General features: G+C 36.7%; 1 protein-coding gene and 1 pseudogene across 3 annotated transcripts, besides 1 other annotated feature; one reads left to right on the top strand and one right to left on the bottom strand.

Annotated features, from left to right (window-relative positions):
- LOC100421401 (guanylate binding protein family member 6 pseudogene) overlaps positions 1–23,247 on the bottom strand; it is a 65,535-nt pseudogene that overhangs the window by 29,957 nt on the left and 12,331 nt on the right.
- GBP5 (guanylate binding protein 5) lies at positions 142–16,813 on the top strand. Of its 3 annotated transcripts, NM_052942.5 has the most exons (12): positions 142–550; positions 2,140–2,247; positions 3,428–3,636; positions 4,146–4,273; positions 5,476–5,585; positions 5,849–6,045; positions 6,414–6,656; positions 8,036–8,316; positions 9,054–9,266; positions 10,217–10,319; positions 10,601–10,782; positions 12,185–16,813. In NM_052942.5, exons 3-12 carry the CDS (start codon positions 3,447–3,449, stop codon positions 12,296–12,298), a joined length of 1,761 nt encoding a protein of 586 aa, NP_443174.1. In that variant the 5' UTR covers positions 142–550; positions 2,140–2,247; positions 3,428–3,446; the 3' UTR covers positions 12,299–16,813. The 3 variants fall into 3 exon arrangements, with proteins under 3 accessions (NP_443174.1, NP_001127958.1, NP_001378849.1); NM_001134486.4 differs by lacking the exon at positions 2,140–2,247; NM_001391920.1 differs by lacking the exons at positions 10,217–10,319; positions 10,601–10,782.
- Positions 12,460–12,961: an enhancer, noted in NCBI's record as "NANOG hESC enhancer chr1:89725724-89726225 (GRCh37/hg19 assembly coordinates)". NCBI's record gives its function as "activates a minimal SCP1, AML or CMV promoter by ChIP-STARR-seq in naive H9 embryonic stem cells {active_cell/tissue: H9 hESC(naive)}" and the evidence as "EXISTENCE:reporter gene assay evidence [ECO:0000049][PMID:30033119]".

Below are 23,247 nucleotides of genomic sequence, written 5' to 3'. Positions count from 1 at the left end.
TTGTAAACACACCAATCAGCACCCTGTCAAAACAGACCAATCAGCTCTCTGTAAAATGGACCAATCGGCTCTCTGTAAAATGGACCCATCAGCAGGATGTGGGTGGGGCCAGATAAGAGAAGTAGCCAGCAGTGGCAACCCACTGAGGTCACCCTCCAGGCTGTGGAACCTTTGTTCTTTCACTCTTTGCAATAAATCTTGCTGCTGCTCACTCTTTGGGTCCACACTGCCTTTATGAGCTGTAACACTCACTGGGAATGTCTGCAGCTTCACTCCTGAAGCCAGCGAGACCACGAACCCACCAGGAGGAACAAACAACTCCAGACGCGCAGCCTTAAGAGCTGTAACACTCACCGCGAAGGTCTGCAGCTTCACTCCTGAGCCAGCCAGACCACGAACCCACCAGAAGGAAGAAACTCCAAACACATCCGAACATCAGAAGGAGCAAACTCCTGACACGCCACCTTTAAGAACCGTGACACTCAACGCTAGGGTCCGCGGCTTCATTCTTGAAGTCAGTGAGACCAAGAACCCACCAATTCCGGACACGGTAAGACTGGGGCAAGAGGTGGAAGAGATTTGCAAGATTCATTTGGTTTTAGAAACATTCTACAAAGGATAGGATGCAGCTTATCCTGATGTGGTATATCAGACCTCAGTAAAGAATAAATTGTATTCTTATCAGACAGGCAGCAGAATTCATCAAGTACCAGCTGTGTCTGCCTCTTGCTGAATTAGACATCAATGTGTGTGGTGACTAAACTAAGAGTTTGAAATGCCTTCAAATTATTTTTCTTCCTTTGCAATTTTATGACTTATTCAGGATCATAATTTCCACTTAAGTTACCTTCGTCCTTCATAAAATCTGATTAAACTGACTCGAACTTCAGCATGAAAGTTTCAAAAACTATGATAGCTATTATTTTCATGAGAAAGAACAATGAATATGATGCAATGTAAGTAGCTTGCAAACATTAAGGACAAGAAAAAAATGTTGCCCAGAGAGAAGTTTCATGAAAACAGTGATGTATTTTTAGTCATAGTCTTGTACTTTGTTTGAAAGTAGATTTCTTCCTTTAGCAATAGCCCTGACTTAATTCATGTTGGTTTCTTGGCATCTACTCACTTAACTAACCCCTTTTGTGTTGGGTTCTGCTTCTACTACTCTATTGCCTTTACTATTATGAATCACCTAATTTAACAGTTGCCCAACTGGATCCCTCAATACTGTCTGGCAACTGTTCACTCGTTGAAATTCTCTCCTTTGAATTTCTTACCATGACACATACTTCAAGCATTTTGTACTAGTTTGATTTCCATTTATATCCTTAATAAGAGCCTTTTCCTTTTCCTTGAAATTCAAACCAGAAACTATGCAAAATAAGCAAAAGCAAGCAATAACAACTACATATACAAATGCAGGCGCAAAACCCAAACTAGAATCATATGGCTGAAAACAGATGTTTTCTTTCAGAAATCCTTCCACTACCACTTCTGAGCATTTTCTCTTAGTATTTTTTTTTGGGCATTTTCCTTCTTTGCACTTTTTAAAATCTCCTGCAGCTCGCTCACTCTCTTTCATAAGCCAGCAGTTATACTGATGTTAATAAATAGTTGTTTATTTACTTTTGCTTTTTTAGAAAACAAGCTGAAAGAATTGAGTGAAATGCCAGAGAGATACAGATAGCCAGTTGTAGGGCTGGGGTTGGAAATCAAGTCTAATTTAAGGCAAGGGCAAAATGTGCATTTTGTGTGTGTATTTTGAACCATTCTTGCATTGTTTTTATTTGCAAAGGTTATAGGGCTCAAGCAGTTAGGGAGAATGCATCCCAGAACACTAAGTTATGAATAACAGAGCAACAGTTATGTTTGTGGCTTGAACACATTAAATCTGCAATAATGTTTTAGAAATTTGGCTTTACTAAAAGCATTAAAGATGCTATCCAGATGACATTGGGGACAACATGTCAAATACTATTATTAATGTAGATATACAATGCTATTGTCATTCATAAGAGAGTCTGAACACTCAGACACATTCATTCCCTCTTCCTTAGTGACATCATCCCAAATCATAAGATCTTGTAAGCTCTCAATATCTGCTTATAGATTTGGCTTATGTATCTTTTGTTTTTCTAGCTAATTGTTGTAGATCATCACTTCAAGGTGCCCATATCTTTCTAGTGGAAAAATTATTCTGGCCTCCGCTGCATACAAATCAGGCAACCAGAATTCTACATATATAAGGTACTAATACTACATTGAAAATAGATTAGAATGAGAAGAGACCTGCCATTTGAGTCTCTAAATTTGTTGCAAAATTGCCTCTTTCTGGGTCAGGCTTGCACTAGGCATTTCCTGACTCCCATGTCCTAGTGCTACACCATTTGCAAATGGATATCCTATTTTCTGCTGCCAAGCAGTTTCTGTTTTAATTTATGTCAACATAATGATTTCCAGGGCATTAGCTATGAGGAAGCAGGGAGAATGGGTCTTCATAATTGTAAAATGACAGTTTTTGAAATTTGCTAGTAAAGAGATGGAGAATCCAAACCTTTTCATTGTAAGATTTTAGTGAAAGAACTCGTCAAGCGGATAGTGAAGTTTTAGCATCCTTAGTAAATAACCACCTTTAAAATGGAAGAAAACTATCCTTTATGATAAGGCAAAGTAGAAAAGCATATTTTTATGGCATTTGCTTTTTCTCATATAGCTCAAACATTTTTTTTAACCAGAGACTCTTTAGGTTATAGGGATTGATGCTCAGAAGTTAGAAAAAAATAGGTTAAGTATTATTAAAGGAAGTTGTTTTACTCATTCAGTCAATCATAAAATAATCATGCTTTGAAGTTTTGGTTTAATAAAGCACATTAGTAACTATGTAAAAAATTTCAAGTATATCACTAAGAAGCAAACAGCTATGATTTGTTAGATAATGCTGCATAATGACTTGGTAGTATTTAATGTAATGCAGTTTGACTGGACATAGATCTAACTGAAAAAAATGAAGTTGACACAAAGTAAAAGGAACAGTGTAATATATTAATAAAGAACATCATAAAGAATTAATATAGGAACCCAGGGAGGTAAAAACTAAAAAACATAACTAAGCCAAAAACCAATGGAATAAGAGTTAGATTCAAACTAGTAGGTTAGACGCAGGAAATGGATTTTCGTATGCCTATCAAATATTTAAGAACCAGTAGAATGGCCTATAGTAGACATATAAAGGGCCTAGGACTTACTTTTGTTTTAAAATAAAGTCTCTCTATTTTACAGGACTCTTTTTATTTTAAAACTTTTTTTTTCCAGAAACTTAGGCAGTGCTGGGGAGTAGTATGTCCCCAGGTTCAGTAAGCAAAATGACTTCCTTTGCTTATTAAACAAACACCAGAAATTCCAGCCTATCCCATCTGTTCCCTTGCAGGCAAAGTAACATCCTAGACATGGCTTTAGAGATCCACATGTCAGACCCCATGTGCCTCATCGAGAACTTTAATGAGCAGCTGAAGGTTAATCAGGAAGCTTTGGAGATCCTGTCTGCCATTACGCAACCTGTAGTTGTGGTAGCGATTGTGGGCCTCTATCGCACTGGCAAATCCTACCTGATGAACAAGCTGGCTGGGAAGAACAAGGGTGAGTGGTACCAGCAAAGCTCTGCCAAACCCTTCTGTCCATTCACACAGTCACCATCCAGTACGAGGAAGCAAGGAGAGAGTAAGACATGAGGATGAATATTAAAAGCCAATGTTTAGGCTACAGCTGGTCTTTTTATCTTTTGGAAGATGAAGACCAGTTCTCTGTTCCTGACATATCACCTCTTTTTTTTTTCTTTGCCTTGATTTCTTCTTGTAAAATGTATAATATATTCTCCTTGTAAGGAGTAAGACATCAATGAAGTAATTCCCGTATACATAATTATAAACTAGCAACATTTTAGTAGCATAATATTTTTTTAATATCAAAGTTCCAACCTATGGTATTTGATATTGTTTTTCCATTTCTGCATCATCATTCAAATCAATACTGGTTGTACATTCTGCTATCTCCTCATCTTGCTTTCCTTAAACTCTAGCTGAATGATCAAGCAAATCCCCAATTTCCAGAGTTTCTCTTCTATTACAACCTCTCACTCCCCCTGACAGGCTTCTCTGTTGCATCTACGGTGCAGTCTCACACCAAGGGAATTTGGATATGGTGTGTGCCTCATCCCAACTGGCCAAATCACACATTAGTTCTGCTTGACACCGAGGGCCTGGGAGATGTAGAGAAGGTAAGGAAGGATTCCTTTTTTTAACCTCCTAATCTCTGAACTGTCTTTTCACAGGGAGATTTTAGGTTTATTTTTCTAAATTTGTAGTTCCACTTGACCAATGTATACCCCCATTGTTTTCCTTTGTATTTTTAATATTCAGAGTTTGGAAGCCTGACATGAGAAAATACATTTATAAGCCAGAATCAGTATTAGAAGAGCAGTGTTGATGTTGAGCTAGGCAATTAACGCAAATGCATAAACATGATGCATATAAAATCACTGTTACAAGCCTGATCCTGTAGATTATACTAGTTAATAGTGGGTTCTGTTCTTAAATGAACTTGTGTTCCAATCAGAGCTCTAGCACTTGTAGCTTTCTGACTTTGATAAGAGAAGTAAGTCTCTCCAAATGTTTTATTTTTTCTTTGGTCTTTCTTATTCAACTCACTACTTAAAAACAGTAGATACATGGGCCTTTCCTAGTTATATGCTGGTAAGTACTTAACAACCAGCTCAAGGACAAAATAACAAAAACAAAAACAACCATGATTTGTAGCACTTGACTATTTTCTGAATACTCCCATCATAATTGATTTCAAGCTACCAAAGTTAATTCACTAAACTCAGACTTGGGAAGACATGCACACAATTTGCTGTCATGAGTTGGTATGAGTTGGCTCCAGCACACAACTGGATCTTTCTCTTGAACTTCCATTGTTTTTTTTCTGTGTGTGTGTTTTTTGTCTTTGTTTTTGATTTGCCAGGACTTAAAGATGACAAGCCACAATTTGAGCCTCAGTTTCCTTACCTACAAAATGGAGATAGTAACTATAAACCCATCTCACAGCACTATTTTTTAGAATTCGATAAGATCATTAATGTGAACTGCATTATTGATACTGGTTATTCAATAAAATAGGTATATGTACTGGGTATATAGGCCAATTTTGTTTTATGTGCTGGAAAATGTTGGTTTTAAGTACTCTGATCACCCCACTAATTTTAACTATCCGTTTTGCAAATATGTAGAGGGACTGGTGAGTTAATAAGATATGGATGAGTATAAAATTATCAATGTTAACAAGAGAACTATTCAAAGTTAATATTTCTAACAATCTTTTTCTTTTGTCTTGTTAAACATTTATGACAAGAGCCTATTTTTAAATATCGCTCATCTGGGAATCCCATGAGACATGACTTAAATTTGGTCTGACTTCTAGGCTGACAACAAGAATGATATCCAGATCTTTGCACTGGCACTCTTACTGAGCAGCACCTTTGTGTACAATACTGTGAACAAAATTGATCAGGGTGCTATCGACCTACTGCAGTATCCTTTTGTGGTATGGGATGGCACCAAAGTCCGACAGAACTCCTCTATTTACCAGCTGCATGTCTGTGAGACCTTGTGAATCACAAAAATGGAAACGTGATAAACATTGAAAGTACAAAGAAAGGAGCCCTTATATTTACTGATAAAATGATGATTTGGTTAAGACTCGTAGGGGAAAATAAAGGTTTGGGGGAAAATGGAATTAAGTATGGGTTTAGATGTGGTCCTATTTCTGCCAGTTTTCTTTAATTGCATCTCAGCAATGTGACAGAACTGACAGATCTGCTCAAGGCAAGAAACTCACCCGACCTTGACAGGGTTGAAGATCCTGCTGACTCTGCGAGCTTCTTCCCAGACTTAGTGTGGACTCTGAGAGATTTCTGCTTAGGCCTGGAAATAGATGGGCAACTTGTCACACCAGATGAATACCTGGAGAATTCCCTAAGGCCAAAGCAAGGTAACAGGGACTTCAGTTTTAGAAAGATTTTTAAAAAAGTAATCTAAGAAATTATCTCTTTTGTTTAGGTGGTTAAATTTATGGTTTTCTATATATATATATATTCACCCAGCTCTCCTAAAAAATAAATAATAAATATTTTTGTTTATAATGAACAAGTAGATTCAATATTAAATTGCATTTTCCTCATTCTTAGAACAAATTTTCTTTTTTACTTTCCCTGATTAGTTACCATTTTGCTTTTTACTTAGGGTTTATGAAGATATATTAATCTAAGTGACATCAGGTGGAAGGACATTTATTCAAGGTAAATAAATGAAAATGAGTGCAAAGTCTATGCTAAATAAATCCTATTTTTTATTCTCCAGGTAGTGATCAAAGAGTTCAAAATTTCAATTTGCCCCGTCTGTGTATACAGAAGTTCTTTCCAAAAAAGAAATGCTTTATCTTTGACTTACCTGCTCACCAAAAAAAGCTTGCCCAACTTGAAACACTGCCTGATGATGAGCTAGAGCCTGAATTTGTGCAACAAGTGACAGAATTCTGTTCCTACATCTTTAGCCATTCTATGACCAAGACTCTTCCAGGTGGCATCATGGTCAATGGATCTCGTGAGTATTATTTTTAGGATTTTCCTTCAATTTAATGTAAACTATAAGGGACACTTTTTATAAGATTATCCTTGCATTGTCAATGTTGACAAATGCATAGGCAATTGCTACTGTGAAAATCATATGTATCATATTTATTAAGTTTCAGTGGGTATCACATATTACTAAGTGTGTGTAGTAATACCTTTAAAGTTACATAAAACAGGAACAAAACCTGAAGATAAGATAAAATTAAAGATCTGTTGAACTGGATTAATCCACATGGGCTGGCAGCATTTGTTCAACAAATACATTGGATTTTTATTATGTGTCACAGTATTTGATAGGCACAAGATGAACAAGACATATATGTTCCCTGTATAAGTGAAACGTGGTTGATAACAAACTTTAAACAAAGGCCCAAATTGTCTAAAACCCTAAATGAAATCTAAGCAGACTTTTGGGCCTAGTTTTTCTTAAGAACTCTGTGTAAATAATTGCTACATTATAGAAGGAAGTTGACTGGAAACAAAAGTGTGCAAATGACAAGGACGTAAAACAGGAAAGTTCAAACAAACATTAAGAGAAACCTGGTTTAAATTGCTTACTTTGCACTTTTTTTTTTTTTTTTTTTTTTTTGAGGTGGAGTCTCCCTCTGTTGCCCAGGCTGGAGTGCAGTGGCACGATCTTGGCTCACTGCAAGCTCCGCCTCCTGGGTTCTCACCATTTTCCTGCCTCAGCCTCCTGAGTAGCTGGGACTACAGGCACCCGCCACCACACCTGGCTAATTTTTTGTATTTTTAGTAGAGGTGGGGTTTCACCGTGTTAGCCAAGATGGTCTCGATCTCCTCACCTCGTGATCCGCCCGCCTCAGCCTCCCAAACTTTGCACTTTTTTAGAGGAGGGTAGCGCTCATACTAGCTTAACTATACTAAAGTGAAATAGAAAAAGGAATTCTGTATCCTAGAACTTAAAGTATAATAAATATATATATAAATAAAAAGAAAAAGGAATTCTGAAGAGAACAGAAAGCTGAGAGAAAAAGGGAAGATTGAAGAGACAGAAGCCTATAGCATTGTAGTCAAATGAATATGTTTGACTTTTATATGATCATCTTCTCATTTCTCCATCAGAGAAGGATGAACTGTAGACTATCACAAACACCTTGAAATTTCCTCTATTTTCTTATTTGAACACAGTTTCCTTTCCCAAAGAATGAAACACTTGGCTTCCTGATAGCACAGTTTCCCAAATAAACTTATTTGGGCCACTTGACTACTGTCCATAATGCTAAACAATTTCAGGCAATGCAACTATTAAATGTACGTTCTCAGAAATTACTGTATCAATCATGTCTTCTTCCTTTGCAAATAATATAAATGTTTCTTTCTTCCATGAAGGTCTAAAGAACCTGGTGCTGACCTATGTCAATGCCATCAGCAGTGGGGATCTGCCTTGCATAGAGAATGCAGTCCTGGCCTTGGCTCAGAGAGAGAACTCAGCTGCAGTGCAAAAGGCCATTGCCCACTATGACCAGCAAATGGGCCAGAAAGTGCAGCTGCCCATGGAAACCCTCCAGGAGCTGCTGGACCTGCACAGGACCAGTGAGAGGGAGGCCATTGAAGTCTTCATGAAAAACTCTTTCAAGGATGTAGACCAAAGTTTCCAGAAAGAATTGGAGGTGATATTTTTGTTTCTAGTTCATGGGGATTAAGGTCAAGAAGGCAAAGTATTGCTTTGAATGATAAAATAGGACTTAGCTAAGAAAAAAAATACTAGATTGGAAAATAATAATATATAGCCATGACACCACTTTTATTCTGAAAACAAATGAGCAAACATGTAATTACTCTGGACCTTGTAGATTCTGAAGTTTTCCCATATGCATACATTTACCATGTTATACCCATGAACTGAATTTTAATTAATTTTCTGTCTTTGGCCAGTTGCATTTACAAAGTATTAAATTTTCTTTTTTATTAAGCATATAGAATTACCAGTTTAATCCACTAAAATATGATGTATCCAGGATTAATAGAATAAGTTGGTATCATTCCAGCCAACTATTCTGCTTCGAACTTTATCATTGGAAATCCCGAGTAAAACACTGAAATACTGGAAGGAATGTTGTAAACTAGTAGGCTGCATTTAAAATTAAAGCATGAAGCTAGAGGTCTGTGGCATGAAGATTACACCTATAGCAGAAATAACAAGAGATTCAAACCCAAAAGTAAATGTCATTTTTCTATAGAGTATCATCCTTGGAATTTTTCCAGGTTTGGTGGGAAGGATATAGTCTTGCTTATATGTGTCTTGCTCTAAGTTTGTAGAAAAAAATATAGATTCTTTTTCAGAATTATTTCCAGAAATACTGAAGTATTGCTAACATCTTTTCCATGGGTTTTTGTCTCTTTGAAGACTCTACTAGATGCAAAACAGAATGACATTTGTAAACGGAACCTGGAAGCATCCTCGGATTATTGCTCGGCTTTACTTAAGGATATTTTTGGTCCTCTAGAAGAAGCAGTGAAGCAGGGAATTTATTCTAAGCCAGGAGGCCATAATCTCTTCATTCAGAAAACAGAAGAACTGAAGGCAAAGTACTATCGGGAGCCTCGGAAAGGAATACAGGTATCCCTAGTTCTACCTATTGTGGAGAATTGCTGAGGGACCTCTTTGTAAAACCAGTGAGAACAGGAAAATTGCCATGTATACAGGCACACAGATGAGGTTTATGTCTCTGTCTAGTAGTAATCCTTTTCTTGAATAAGCATTTATGGAAAAACAATGTGCCTGGTGTTGGTGTTCCTCGCACAGAATTTATATCTAATGGTAGCAGTGGGGTTAAACTGAACCATCACCATAATCACCAGACTTGCTTTGTGACCATCAACATTCATTGCAACAAAGAGGCCTTTTTGGTTACATTGGACAGAATGCCAATACTTGAAACTAACCTAAGAAACACCAGTAATTCATTGGCTTACACAAACTAAAAGCAAAAGATTTTAATTTAGTTTCAAGTATAGATGCATTCAGAATTTTAAACAATATTATCCCTTTTCCTCCTTCTTTCTGTCATTTTTCTGTTTCATTTTCCTGACTATTGGCTTCATTTCCAGGCAGGCTCACCCCACATGACAATAAAGGTGACACCAACAGGTCCAAGCTTAACTAGTCCTTACTGCCCTCAGTCTCAGGGGAAAGAGAGCATCTTTTCTCCAGCATATATCTGTCATTCAAACACAAAAGCATCATCAATTTTCATACTCTTTGCAGTATTTTTCTCCCTGTGAACAAGTCCTTTGCATCTAGTGGACTTGCATGCTCTGACTGACCATGGAGTCATGGCCAAACTTGTGACAGGAGCAGGTGTTCCACAAGCCTCTCCAGTCTCAATTGGCAGTTCCACCAAGTGCAGGGTGGAAGCCTGTATAGGCTCCACCTCTCCTATGGAGCCTCTCCTATGGCAAGCCTCTCCTATGAGGAATAGATGCTGCTGGAAGGAACAAGACAAAGATGTTTACAACATTCCTAATCACCATTTCCTGCATCTAACTGCATGTTTTCCGGGTTGCTAGGCTGAAGAAGTTCTGCAGAAATATTTAAAGTCCAAGGAGTCTGTGAGTCATGCAATATTACAGACTGACCAGGCTCTCACAGAGACGGAAAAAAAGAAGAAAGGTGAGAAGAAAGTGGAAATTATGCAAGATAGAAAGAAATCTATAAATTTTAAATAAATTTGGCCTGGCCCTCATGGGATGTTAAACTAGAGCAAGAATGGCAAAGATGCTTCTTAGCTCCTCAAGCATATCTGACTGGCATGATCCTGCATTGTGGTTACCTGGAAGGGAAAAACAACCCCTGGGAATTTTATCCAGGAAGTTGGAACAATCACAAACAAAAGTGGGAGGCAGAAGGAAGAGGCACATTAATCCTAGAGAAGATTATCTTTTTCTCCTCAGAGGCACAAGTGAAAGCAGAAGCTGAAAAGGCTGAAGCGCAAAGGTTGGCGGCGATTCAAAGGCAGAACGAGCAAATGATGCAGGAGAGGGAGAGACTCCATCAGGAACAAGTGAGACAAATGGAGATAGCCAAACAAAATTGGCTGGCAGAGCAACAGAAAATGCAGGAACAACAGATGCAGGTATTCATCAATTGTTTCATCTCTCCCCTGCCTGTAACGATGAGAGTATGTAGCAGTGGCAAAGAGGGAGAGGCAGCAAGATCTTGTGGCTCTCAGCAGGGAGTCTGGAGCCAGAAAGTCTGGGTATGAATCCAAGCTCCACCTCTTAGTAAGTATATGGTTTAGGCAAGTTATCTATCACCTCTGTGCCTAATTTTCCTCTTGTGTAAAATGGACACAGTGATGATATCTATGTTATAGGGTTATTTTGATAATTAAATGAGTTAATATTTGTGTTTAAATGGTGCCCGATACAGAGTAAGCACTATATGTTGTTAAATAAAAACCAAGGCATTTCTGGGCTGCAGTAACTGGTCTTTCCTGTTGACTTGTTAATTGTCCTGGATGATCTTTTGCTTTGGTCATAGATACTTTGTTAATCTGATTTCATGTTACTGTGTCTATGCCCCTGTTCTTGCCTTGATCATCTCTGTTCTGAAGGCCTTTAATTTGCCAGTTTGTTTCATCCGGTCCTTTACTTTTATTTACCAATCACTGTCAGTAGTTACCAAGCACTCTCCAGTAGTTATTATTTATCAGTCACTGTCATAGCACTTTACATGCATTATCTCATCTAATCCATTCACTGTAAAGCAGAACTACTGTGTCCTCATTTTTCAGATGAGATAAGTGGGGTTTCAAAGAGATAATCAATGCAAATATCACACAAGCCTAGCACATTAACAAAACTGCCTTCCAAATGAGTGGAATCTGCAGTGTTTTTGCTTCTTCAGACCTGGTGTAAAATTCCTATGTCAGCACCCTAATGAGACAAATGACATCCTAATTCTTCCCCTTGGCTTGCCAGTTTGTAGGTACTAGTTTTTCAGAAGTTACTCTAAAATATTTCTGATTGCAGCTCCTTCCTAAAGAGCAGTATGAGCAGCATGTGGTTATTTATGTATTCACTCTTTTCTCCTACTTCTGTGGTGACCTGGAACAAATTCTCTTATGTATGTAAAGATTGGACAGCCCACCTGATTCCGATGTCACTTAGATACACTGTTTTTGTATCAGCCTCTTCTCTTAGAAATATATCTGAGAGTCTCCTGTGTGTGTATGAGAATTGAAGTCAAGATGTGACTAAGATTGCCCAAGGAGATCGTGTGGTTTAAGGGGGAAGGGAGCTTTGGTTTGGAATCCTAGGGACACCAATATTCCAGGGATGAGAAATGACCATTTCTGGAGCTAGAGAAAGACAAGGAGGGTGAATAATTACAGAAATAGGTTAGATGCACGTGAATGGAAGAGAGATATTCAGGAACTGTTTACTGCTACTGTAGATGAAAAGAAGTAAGGACAAGTGAGTGATTTAGGCAATCAGTAAGAAGCTTGATCTTACTTTCTATTTATCACTCTTTAGGAACAGGCTGCACAGCTCAGCACAACATTCCAAGCTCAAAATAGAAGCCTTCTCAGTGAGCTCCAGCACGCCCAGAGGACTGTTAATAACGATGATCCATGTGTTTTACTCTAAAGTGCTAAATATGGGAGTTTCCTTTTTTTACTCTTTGTCACTGATGACACAACAGAAAAGAAACTGTAGACCTTGGGACAATCAACATTTAAATAAACTTTATAATTATTTTTTCAAACTTTCATATAGAGTTATAAGATTATGATGCTGGTATCTGGTAAAATGTACATCCCAGTAGTCCAATAGTTTAAATGTTTATTGCTTCCTTTAAGAGATTATAAATTGTATAAGGGACATTGTATCACTGCCTTCATTTATGCGTGATATTGGGATGGTTTCATCAGGAGATGCTTTCCTTGCATCTCAATGTCATCTGTCTAATTTCTCATAAGGGGATTATGTTACCTAGAGCAGGGCTTCCCAACCCTCAGGCCATAGACTAGCTCTGATCTGTGGCCTCTTAGGAACCCGGCCACACAGCAGGAGGTGAGCAGCAGGTAAGTGAGCATTACAGCCTGAGCTCCACCTCCTGTCAGATCAGCAGTGACATTAGATTCTCACAGGAGTGGGAACCCTATTGTGAACTGTGCATGCAAAAGATCTAGGTTGTGTGATCCTTGTGGAACAATATAAACCAGAAACCAATAACGCCACCCCACCTCCAACCCCCGCCAACCCTCTGTGGAAAAATTACCTTCCACGAAACTGGTCCCTGATGCCAAATAGGTTGGGGGACCGCTGACCTAGAGGGAGTTATGCACATGGGCTTATAAGGTTAGCCAAGAGAAAGGACAAGAAGACCCAAAGTCGGCAAGCAAATTTATTAACCTGCTGGGCTGCTCTACAGAAATCTGAGGAGGCAGACACCGGGCTTACAGGCTAAGGGGTATAAGTAGGTCTGCAGGGGTTTTGTGTGTGTGTGCGGGGGTGTCGGGGGGGCAAGGCCATTTGTGGAGACTTTTCCTCCCAGTATGGCCACATCCTGCAGTTTGTCAGTTTTTGCCCCCGCCTGGCTCAGGGTACCAGGATGTGGTTTAGCTTAGGGGTGGTTATAGTGGCACCTAAGTTCTGGGAACTTGCGGTGGGGGCGACCTTTTGGACGAAAAATAAGCTGCAGGGCAGCTAGGGGAGGGGGCTTGTTATATTCCTCTGGGGGCAGGGTGTCCCTAACTGGGCTCAGTCGGAAGGAACTTGACCAAAGTCTGGGCTCAGTTGGGCATCACTCAGGCTAATGGTCGTGTGCTGGATGCCATCAGAGGGAAGTACCAATGGTAAAGTGGAAACAATGTGCAGCTTTCAACTGGGTGGAGGCTGCTATTCTGTGGACAGTGAGATGTTTCCTTGGCACTGTCAATAGACAATCTGCGTAGAGAAATTCCAAGCTGAAAGCCAATAATGTTATAATAAAATAGAGATTCTTCAGAAGATGAAAGGAATTACCAGCATGGAAATTGTGTCATAGGCTTAAGGGCTAAAGAAGAAGCCTTTTCTTTTCTGTTCACCCTCACCAAGAGCACAACTTAAATAGGGCATTTTATAACCTGAACACAATTTATATTGGACTTAATTATTATGTGTAATATGTTTATAATCCTTTAGATCTTATAAATATGTGGTATAAGGAATGCCATATAATGTGCCAAAAATCTGAGTGCATTTAATTTAATGCTTGCTTATAGTGCTAAAGTTAAATGATCTTAATTCTTTGCAATTATATATGAAAAATGACTGATTTTTCTTAAAATATGTAACTTATATAAATATATCTGTTTGTACAGATTTTAACCATAAAAACATTTTTGGAAAACCATAAATCAGTTCCTTTGTTTGTATTTTTCTCAAAGTTAAAAGTCTATAGAGAAAGACTGAATTTCCCTAAGGAGATTAAGAATTGCTTTAAGACTAGAATTAAAACACACTTTATTACATCTTTTTATGTACTTTTTGTTACTTTGTTTTGTATATCTCCAGTAAAATTTTTTTTGTTTAAATTATAGAAACATTACACAAAGCTCTGTTTTTCTCCCTTATAAGTACTTACTCATATAAGGAATTTTCCACTTAGGTAATATGATAGGAGCTTGAATTTTTTTAGTCACCCAAAATATGATTTACTTATATACAGAAAAAAGCCGAAAAATTTTAGTGTCTGCTCTTTTTACTGTTCTTTGAAGAGCTTTAATATGAGGAATTTTTCATATCAGATAGGATGTGGTGCTACTCAGCAGTATTTCTAGATTTGAACTGAAGTTCAGAAGGTACCAGCATATTCAACTGAGCATTTGTCTAGCAATACCCTACAATTACCTTTTCAAGCTGTGCAATTTATAAAGAAAAAAATACATTTTATCATCCAAGGAAATGTTATCAGTAAAAAGAATAGCTCTATCTCCAAATTAAATATTGATATCTTTATTACCCATCTTAAAGAAATTTTTTAAAATCCTGAGACTCAGAAAATTAAGTCATTTAAGGTTTCACACCTTGTTACTGTTAACCTAGACCATGTTACAAAGTAGTTGATTTCTAGTCTAATTTAACTTTTGCTATTATATCTCCCCCACCAAAAACCAGAGAGGCATGCTGCTTTCATTAGTGATCCACAGATATTCTTCCCCACCAGCTTCCCTGGATCCCACTCATCCCCAAATACTCTGATCTCACAGGTTAGAGATCTGTCACTGGGTGCAAAAGAACAAGAAAAGGCACTGTAAGGTAAACATTGATGATTTCTTGAAACTACCAGTAAGTAGCTTATATTTTCTGACTTTCTTTGTCTTACTGTTGTGAAATCAACTGATCTAGTTTTAAATGTAATGAAAAGCAAAGCAATAGATTCTCCCCTAGAGCCTGCAGATGGAATGCAGCCTTGTTAACATCTTGATTTAAGCTTCACAGACTTCTGATTTCCAAAACTGTAAGATAATAAGCTTCTGTTGTTTTAAGCCACAAAATTAGTAATAATTTGTTATAGCAGCAATAGGAAACAAGTACAAAATCTTTATTAGTTAATACTATGAATAGTTATTCATACCAGCTAAGAGATATTTGGAATTTATTATGGATCACTTTATTATGGTCACTGTAGTAATTCACCTGTTGCTCATAAAAACCTTATAAACATTTAGTATTGTTTTATGGCAATTGTTATTTTAAACAATATTATCAATGTATGTTAGTGTTATCATTATTAAAGTTATTATTGTTAAAGCATTGAAATTAAATAAATTAAGGTCAGTACCACAGAAGGCCTTTTGAATTTAGAACCCACATTAATAACCATCTTGTGGTACTTTCTTATCTTGCTTAGTGATACGGTTTGGCTGTGTCCACTCAAATCTCATCTTGAATTATGGCTCCCATAATGCCCACGTGTTGTGGGAGGGACCAGGTGGGAGGTAATCAAATCATGGGGGTGGGTTTTCATGTGCTTTTTTCATGATAGTGAATAAGTCGCCTGAGATCTGATGGCTTCATAAAGGGCAATTCCCCTGCACATGCTCTCTTGCCTGACACCATGTAAGATGTGCCTTTGTTCCTCTTTCATCTTCTGCTGTGGTTGTGAGGCCTCCCCACCCATGTGAAACTACAAGTCCATTACATCTCTTTTCCTTTATAAATTACCCAGTCTTGAGTATTTCTTCATAGCAGTATGAAAATGGACTAATATACTTAGGAAAACATAGAAATACTGAATAATGTGTTAAAATTTAGAAGGAATTACTAAAATAATTGAAATCAAAAGCATAGATTCAAAACAATGTATAAGAATTCAGCACAAAATAAGCAGGTAAAGAAATTTCTAAAATGAAGTAGAGAAAATGTGGTAATGACTCTAGTGTATAACGATCACCAACAGAATAGAAAGTCCAAAAAATAGACTTTATAGGAATAATACAGGGTAAAGATAGACTTCTTAGTAGGTTGGGACTACTGGATGGCCATATAGGAAAAGATCAAGTTGTAACCAGACCTCACACACAATACACTAAAATAAGAAAAAGGAACCACACCCAAATTGATAAAATATAAAATGTAAAACTATGAAAATGCATTTGAAGAAATCAAGGTTATGTTCTTCATAAACCTGTAGAGGAGAGGGCCTTTCTAAATGTGACTCAAAACTCTTGAAATCTCTCTTGACCCCATGTCTCAGTCAGTTTCAACACAATCTTTGTTCCCTTTCAAAGCAATATTTTAGTTAGTTACATCCCATTCTCTGTTTTTCAAAATTATTAAATGTGACACATACTGAAGAGTACAAAAAACATAAAATGTACAATATTCAATATAAATAAATTACAAGATGAACGCACAAGTAACAACCCAGGTACATACATTCAGCATTACTAAAATTCTATAGGTGTATATGACAACTTCTGACAACCCTGCTAGAGCCAACTAATATCACAACTTTCACAACTATTTTCTAGGATTTTATTATAAACATGTGAGCTCCTAAGTAATGTAATTTTGTTTGGCCTGTTTTCAAACTTTATTTAAATGGAATTACATTGTTTGTATTCTTTTATGCCTTGCTTCATTTGTTAATAAAATCTTTATAAGATTCATCTAGTTCATTGTGTGTAGTTGTAAGCTATATATATTCTACTGTTTAAAGATAACAATTCATTCTACTATTAATACATATCTGGATTTTCAGGTTTACCTTATGAAATGTTATTAAGGACATTCTTTTTTTTTTCTGTTTTTTTTTTTTTATGAGACAGAGTCTCACTCTATCACCCAGGCTGGAGTGAAGTGGCATGATCTCGGCTCAAGGCAACTTCTGCCTCCCAGGTTCAAGCAATTCTCATGCCTCAGCCTCCCAACTAGCTGGGACTACAGGCACACACCACTATGCCTGGCTAATTTTTGCATTTTTAGTAGAGATAGCGTCTCACCATGTTGTACAGGCAGGTCTTGAACTCCTGGCCTCAGGTGATCCACCCACCTCGGCTCCCCAAAGTGCTGGGATTACAGGTATGAGCCACCGCGCCCGATCGGAACATTCTCGAACATATACACTTGTGCATGTATATATAAAATTCCCTCTGTAACACTGAAGTCTTAGAGAATGGATATCCAGCTTTTCTTATTTATTAAATTTTTATTATTTTTAATTTTTGTGGGTACATAGTAGGAGTATATGTTTACGGGGTACATGAGATGCCTTGATACAGACATGCAGTGCATAATGATCAGATGGAGAAGGGGTATCTATCTACTCAAGCATTTACTCTTTGTATTACAAACAATCCAATTATACACTTTCAGTAATTTTAAGAAGTACAATTAAATTATTATTGACTATAATCTTCCCTTTGTGCTATTAAATATTAGGTCTCATTCATTCTTTCTAACTATATTTTTTGTACTCGTTAAACATCCTCACCTCACCCCTATCACCCTGCCCCACTACACTTCCCAGACTCTGGTAGAGATCCTCTACTCTCTACAGTTATGAATTCAATTGGTTTGATTTTTAGATCCTGCAAATAAGTGAGAACATGCAATGTTTGTTTTAATATGCTTGGCTTATTTCACTTAACATAATGATCTCCAGTTCCATCCAAGTTGTTGCGGATGACAGGATCTCATTATTTTTATGGCTGAATAGAACTCCATTGTGTAAAAGTACCACATTTTCTTTATGCATTCATGTGTCGATGGATACTTGGCTTGCTTCCAAATCTTGGCTATTGTGAAAAGCAATGCAACAAACATGGGAGTGGGAATATCTCTTCGGTATATTGATTTCTTTCTTTTGGGTATATACCCAGCAGTGGGATTGCTGGATCATATAGTAGCTTAATTTTTAAGTTTTCTGAGAACCCCAAAGTGTTCTCCTTAGTGGTTGTACGAATTTACAATCCCACCAACAATGTACAAGGACTTCCTTTCCTGCACATCCTTGCCAGCATTTGTTACTGACTGTTTTTTGGACATAAGCCATTTTAACTGGAGTGAGATGATGTCATTGTAGTTTTGATTTGCATTTCTCTGATGATCCATGATGTTGAGCACCTTTTCATATGACTGTTTTCCATTCATATGTCTTTTTTGAGAAATGTCTATTCAAATCTTTTGCCCATTTTTTGATTGGATAATTAGATTTTTTCCTATAGAGTTGTTTAAGCTTCTTATATTTTCTAGTTATTAATCCTTTGTCAGATGGGTAGTTTGCAAGTATCTTCTTGCATTCTCTATGTTGTGTCTTCACTTCGTTTATGGATTCCTTTGCTGTGCAGAACCTTTTTAACTTGACATGATCCCATTTACCCATTTTTGCTTTTGTTCCCTGTGCTTGAGGGGTATTACCCAAACAATTTTTGCCCAGACCAATGTCCTGGAGAGTTTCCCCAATGTTTCTTGTAGTAGTTTTATAGTTTGAAGTCTTAGATGTAAGTATTTAATCCACTTCGATTTGATTTTTGTATATGTCAAGAGATAGGGGCCTAGTTTCATTCTTTTGCATATGGATATCCAGTTTTCCCAGCATAAATTATTGAAGAGATTGTCTTTTCTTTGGTGTATGTCCTTGACATCTTTGTTGAATATGAGTTTACTAAAGGTGTGTGGATTTCTTTCTGGGTTCTCTATTCTGTTCCACTGGTCTATGTGTCTATTTTTGTTTTTGTTTTGTTTTGTTTTGTTTTTCAGACGAGTCTCTCTCTGTCGCCCAGGCTGGAGTGCAGTGGCGCGAACTCAGCTCACTGCAAGCTCCGCCTCCCGGGTTCACGCCATTCTTCTGCCTCAGCCTCCCCAGTAGCTGGGACTACAGGCGCCCGCCAACATGCCAGGCTAATTTTTATTTTTTATTTTTTTAGTAGAGACGGTTTTTCACCGTGTTAGCCAGGATGGTCTCTATCTCCTGACCTCATGATCCGCCCGCCTTGGCCTCCCAAAGTGCTGGGATTACAGGCGTCGGCCACCGCGCCCGGCCTATGTGTCTGTTTTTATGCCACTACCATGCTGTTTTGGTTGCTATTGATCTGTAATTTGAAGTTAGGTAATGTGATTCCTCCAGTTTTGTTCTTTTTGCTCAGGATAGCTGTGGCTATTCTGGGTCTTTCGTGGTTTCAAATAAATTTTGGGATAGCTTTATTTTTTTCTATTTCTGTGAAGAATGTCATTAGTATTTTGATGGAGATTGCATTGAATCTGTAGATTGCTCTGGGCAGTATGAACATTTTAACAATATTGATTCTTCCAATCCATGAAGATGGAATATCTTTCCATATTTTTCTGTCCTCTTCAATTTCCTTCATCAGTGTCTTATAATTTTCATTATAGAGATCTTTCACTTTTTTAGTTAATTCTTGAGTATTTAATTTTATTTGTGGCTGTTGGAAATGGGATTACTTTTATTTTTCACATTGTTCACTGTAGGCATACAGAAATGTTACTGATGTTTGTATGTTGATTTTATATCCTACAACTTTACTAAGTTGGCTTATCAGTTTTCATTGTTTTTTTGGTGGTGTCTTTAGGTTTTTTGAAATATAAGATCATATAATCTGCAAATAATGATAAATTGACTTCTTGCTTTCCAATTTGGATGCCCTTTATATCTTTCTCTTGTCTGATTGCTCTAGTTAGGGCATCCAATACTATGTTGAGTTACAGTGGTGAAAGTGGTCATCCTTGTCATGTTCCAGTTCTTAAAGGCTTTCAGGTTTTTTTCCAATTCAGTGTCATAAAAACTGTGGGTTTGTTGTATATGGCTTTTATTATCTTGAGATATGTTTCTTCCTTACCCAGTTTTTTTAGGGTTTTTATCATGGAGGGATGTTGAATTTTATCAAATGCTTTTACAGCATTAGCTGAAATGACCATATGGCTTTTGTCCTCCATTCTGTTGATATGAAGTATCACATTGACTAATTTTCGTAGGTTGAACCATACTTGAATCCCAGAGATAAATCCCACTTGGTCATGGTGAATGGTCTTTTTAATGTACCGTTGAATTTGGTTTGCTAGTATTTTCTTGAGAGTTTTTACATCAATACTCATCAGAGGTATGAGCCTGTAGCTTTCTTCTTTTTTATGTGTCATTGTCTGATTTTGATCAAGGTAATACAGGCCTCATTAACTGAGGTTGAAAGTATTCCTCCCTACTCTATTTTTAAGGATAGTTTGAATATAATTGGTATAACCTCTTCTTTAAATTAAACAGTGAAGTCGTTGCGTCCCAGGCTTTTCTTTACTGGGAGACTTTTTCTTATGGCTTCACTATCATTACTTGTTATTGGTCTGTTCAGGTTTTGGATTTCTTCGTTGTCCAATCTTGGTAGGTTGTATGTGTCTAGGAATTTTTCCATTTCTTCCAGATTTTTCAATGTATTGGCATATAGTTTTTCATAGTAGCCACTAATGATCCTTTGAATTTCTGCAGTACCCATTATGTCTCCTTTTTCATCTCTGATTTTGTTTATTTGAATACTTTCTTTTTTCTTAGTCTGACTGAAGGTTTGTTAATTTTGTTTAATTTTTTAAAAAACAACTTTTGTTTCATTGATCTTTTGTATTGTTACTTTCATTTCAATTTCATTTATTTCTACTCTGCTCTTTATTATTTATTTTCTTCTAATTTTAGGTTTGGTTTGCTCTTTTCTACTTCTTTAAGATTAGTCATTAGGTTGTTTCTTTGAAGTTTTTCTTTTTTTTAATGTAGGCACTTATAGCCATAAATTTCCCTGCTAGTACTGCTTTTGCTGTATCTCATAGGTTTTGCTATGTTGTATTTTCATTATCATTTGTCTCAAAAAGTTTTTCAATTTCCTTCGTAATTTTTTCATTGACACATTAGTCATTCAGGACCACATTGTTTAATTTTCATGTATTCTTATAGTTTCCAAAAACTGTCTTGTTAATTTCTAGTTTTATTCCATTGTGGTTAGGGAAGATGCTTGATATTATTTTAATTTTTTAGATGTGTTAAGACTTGTTTTGTTACCTAACATATGGTCTATTCTTGAGAATAATCCATGAGCTGAGGAAAAGGATATGTATTCTGCAGCCATTGGATGCAATATTTTGTAAATATCTATTCGATCCATTTGGTCTATAGTGCAGATTAAGCCCAATGATTCTTTGTTGCTTTTCTGTCTGGAAGATCTGTTCAATGCTGAAAGTGGGGTATTGAAGTCTCCAGCCATTATTGTATTGCAGTCTCTCTCTCTAGCTCTAATAATATTTGCTTTATATATCTGGATGCTCCAGCGTTTGGTGCATATATACTTAAAATTGTTATATTCTCTTGTTAAATTGACCCCTTTATCATGATATACTCACTGGCTTTGTTTTTCCTTATAGTTTTTGTCTTGAAATCTATTTTGGCCTGATATGAGTATAGCTACTCCTGCTTGTTTTGTTGTTTCCATTGGCATGGAATACCTTTGTCCATCTCTTTGTTTTCAGATTATGAGTGTCTTTATAGGTGAAGTGTGTTTCTTATAGCAGCACATCAATGGGTCTTGTGCATTTAGCCACATCTTTTGATTGGCAGGTTTAGTCCATTTTCATTCAATGTTATTATTGATAAGTAGTACTCCTGCCATTTCATTGTTTTCTGGTTGTTTTGTGGTCTTCTCTTACTTCTTTCCTTCCTTCCTGTCTTTCTATAGTGACAGTGATTTTCTTTGGTTATATGATTTAGTTTTTTGCTGTTTCTTTTTTGTGTTATCTGTTGTATGTTTTTTGGTTTGAGGTTACCATAAGTCTTGCAAATATTGTCTTATAATCTCCTATTTTAAGCTCATAACAAAACTTTTGCATAAACAAACTACAAACAAGCAAAAAGAAAACTAATAAAAACTCTATGCTTTAACTTTGTCCCCCCACTTTTTAACTTTTTATTGTTTCTATTTATATCTTATCATACTGACTATGTCCTGAAAAGTTGTTGTAGTTAATTATTTTGGATTAGTTTATCAGTTAGTCTTTCTACTTGGGATAAGAGTAGTTTATACACCACAGTTACAGTGTAATCATATTCTGTGTTTTTCTGTATTTCTGTATACTGACTATTATCAGTGAGTTTTGTACCTTCAGATGATTACTTACTACTTGTTAATGTCCTTTTCTTTCTGATTGAAGTAATCCCTTTAGCATTTCTTTTTATACAGGTCTGATGTTCATGAACTCCCTCAACTTTTGTTTGTCTGGGAAAGTCTTTATTTCTTCTTGATGTTTGAAAGATATTTTCACCAGATATACTATTCTAGGGTAAAAGTATCTTTTTTCCTTAGCACTTTGAATACATTATGCCACTCTCTCATGGCCTCTAAGATTTCCACTGAAAGGTCTGCTGCCAAATGTATCTGGAGCTCCATTGTATGTTATTTGTTTAGGTTCTCTTGCTGCTTTAAGGATCCTTTCTTTATCCTTGATTTTTGGGACTTTGATAATTAAAAGCTTTGAGGTAGTCTTCTTCAGGTTAAATTGGCTTGGTGTTCTATGATCTTCTTGTACTTGAATATTGATATCTTTCTCTAGGTTTGGGAAATTCCCTGTTATTATCCCTTTAAATAAGCTTTCTACCTCTGTCTCTTTCTCTACCTCCTCTTTGAAGTAAATGAATCTTAAATTTGCCCTTTTAAGGTAATTTTCTAGATCCTGTAGGAATGGTTCATTGTTTTTTATTCTTTTTTCTTCTGTGTTCTCTGACTGTGTATTTTCATTAGCCTGTCTTCAAGCTCATTAATTCTTTATTCTGCTTGTGCAGTTCTGCTAGGGAAAGACTTTCATGCATTCTTCAGCATGCCAATTGCATTTTTTTCAGCTCCAGAATTTCTGCTTGATCCTTTTTAATTATTTTAAACTCTGTGAAATTTATCGGATAGAATTCTTAATTCTTTCTCTGTGTTATCTTGAATTTCTTTGAGTTTCTTCAACGTAGGCATTTTGAATTCTCTGTCTGAAAGATCGCACATCTCTATTTCTCCAGGACTGGTCCTTGGTACCTTATTTTGTTCGTTTGGTAAGACTATGTTTTCCTGGATTGT

Source organism: Homo sapiens, chromosome 1, assembly GCF_000001405.40.
Source record: "Homo sapiens chromosome 1, GRCh38.p14 Primary Assembly".
NCBI classification, from domain to species: domain Eukaryota; kingdom Metazoa; phylum Chordata; class Mammalia; order Primates; family Hominidae; genus Homo; species Homo sapiens.
This window is presented reverse-complemented; position numbering and strand designations above follow the sequence as displayed.

What these genes read in the sequence shown, in the direction of transcription:
- GBP5 (NM_001134486.4), top strand. Translation starts at nt 3,447, where the DNA reads ATGGCTTTAGAGATCCACATGTCAGACCCCATGTGCCTCATCGAGAAC. An exon ending in GCTGGCTGGGAAGAACAAGG is followed by an intron (nt 3,637 to 4,145) that starts GTGAGTGGTACC and finishes TCCCCCTGACAG; the next exon opens with GCTTCTCTGTTGCATCTACG. An exon ending in CATCATGGTCAATGGATCTC is followed by an intron (nt 6,657 to 8,035) that starts GTGAGTATTATT and finishes TCTTCCATGAAG; the next exon opens with GTCTAAAGAACCTGGTGCTG.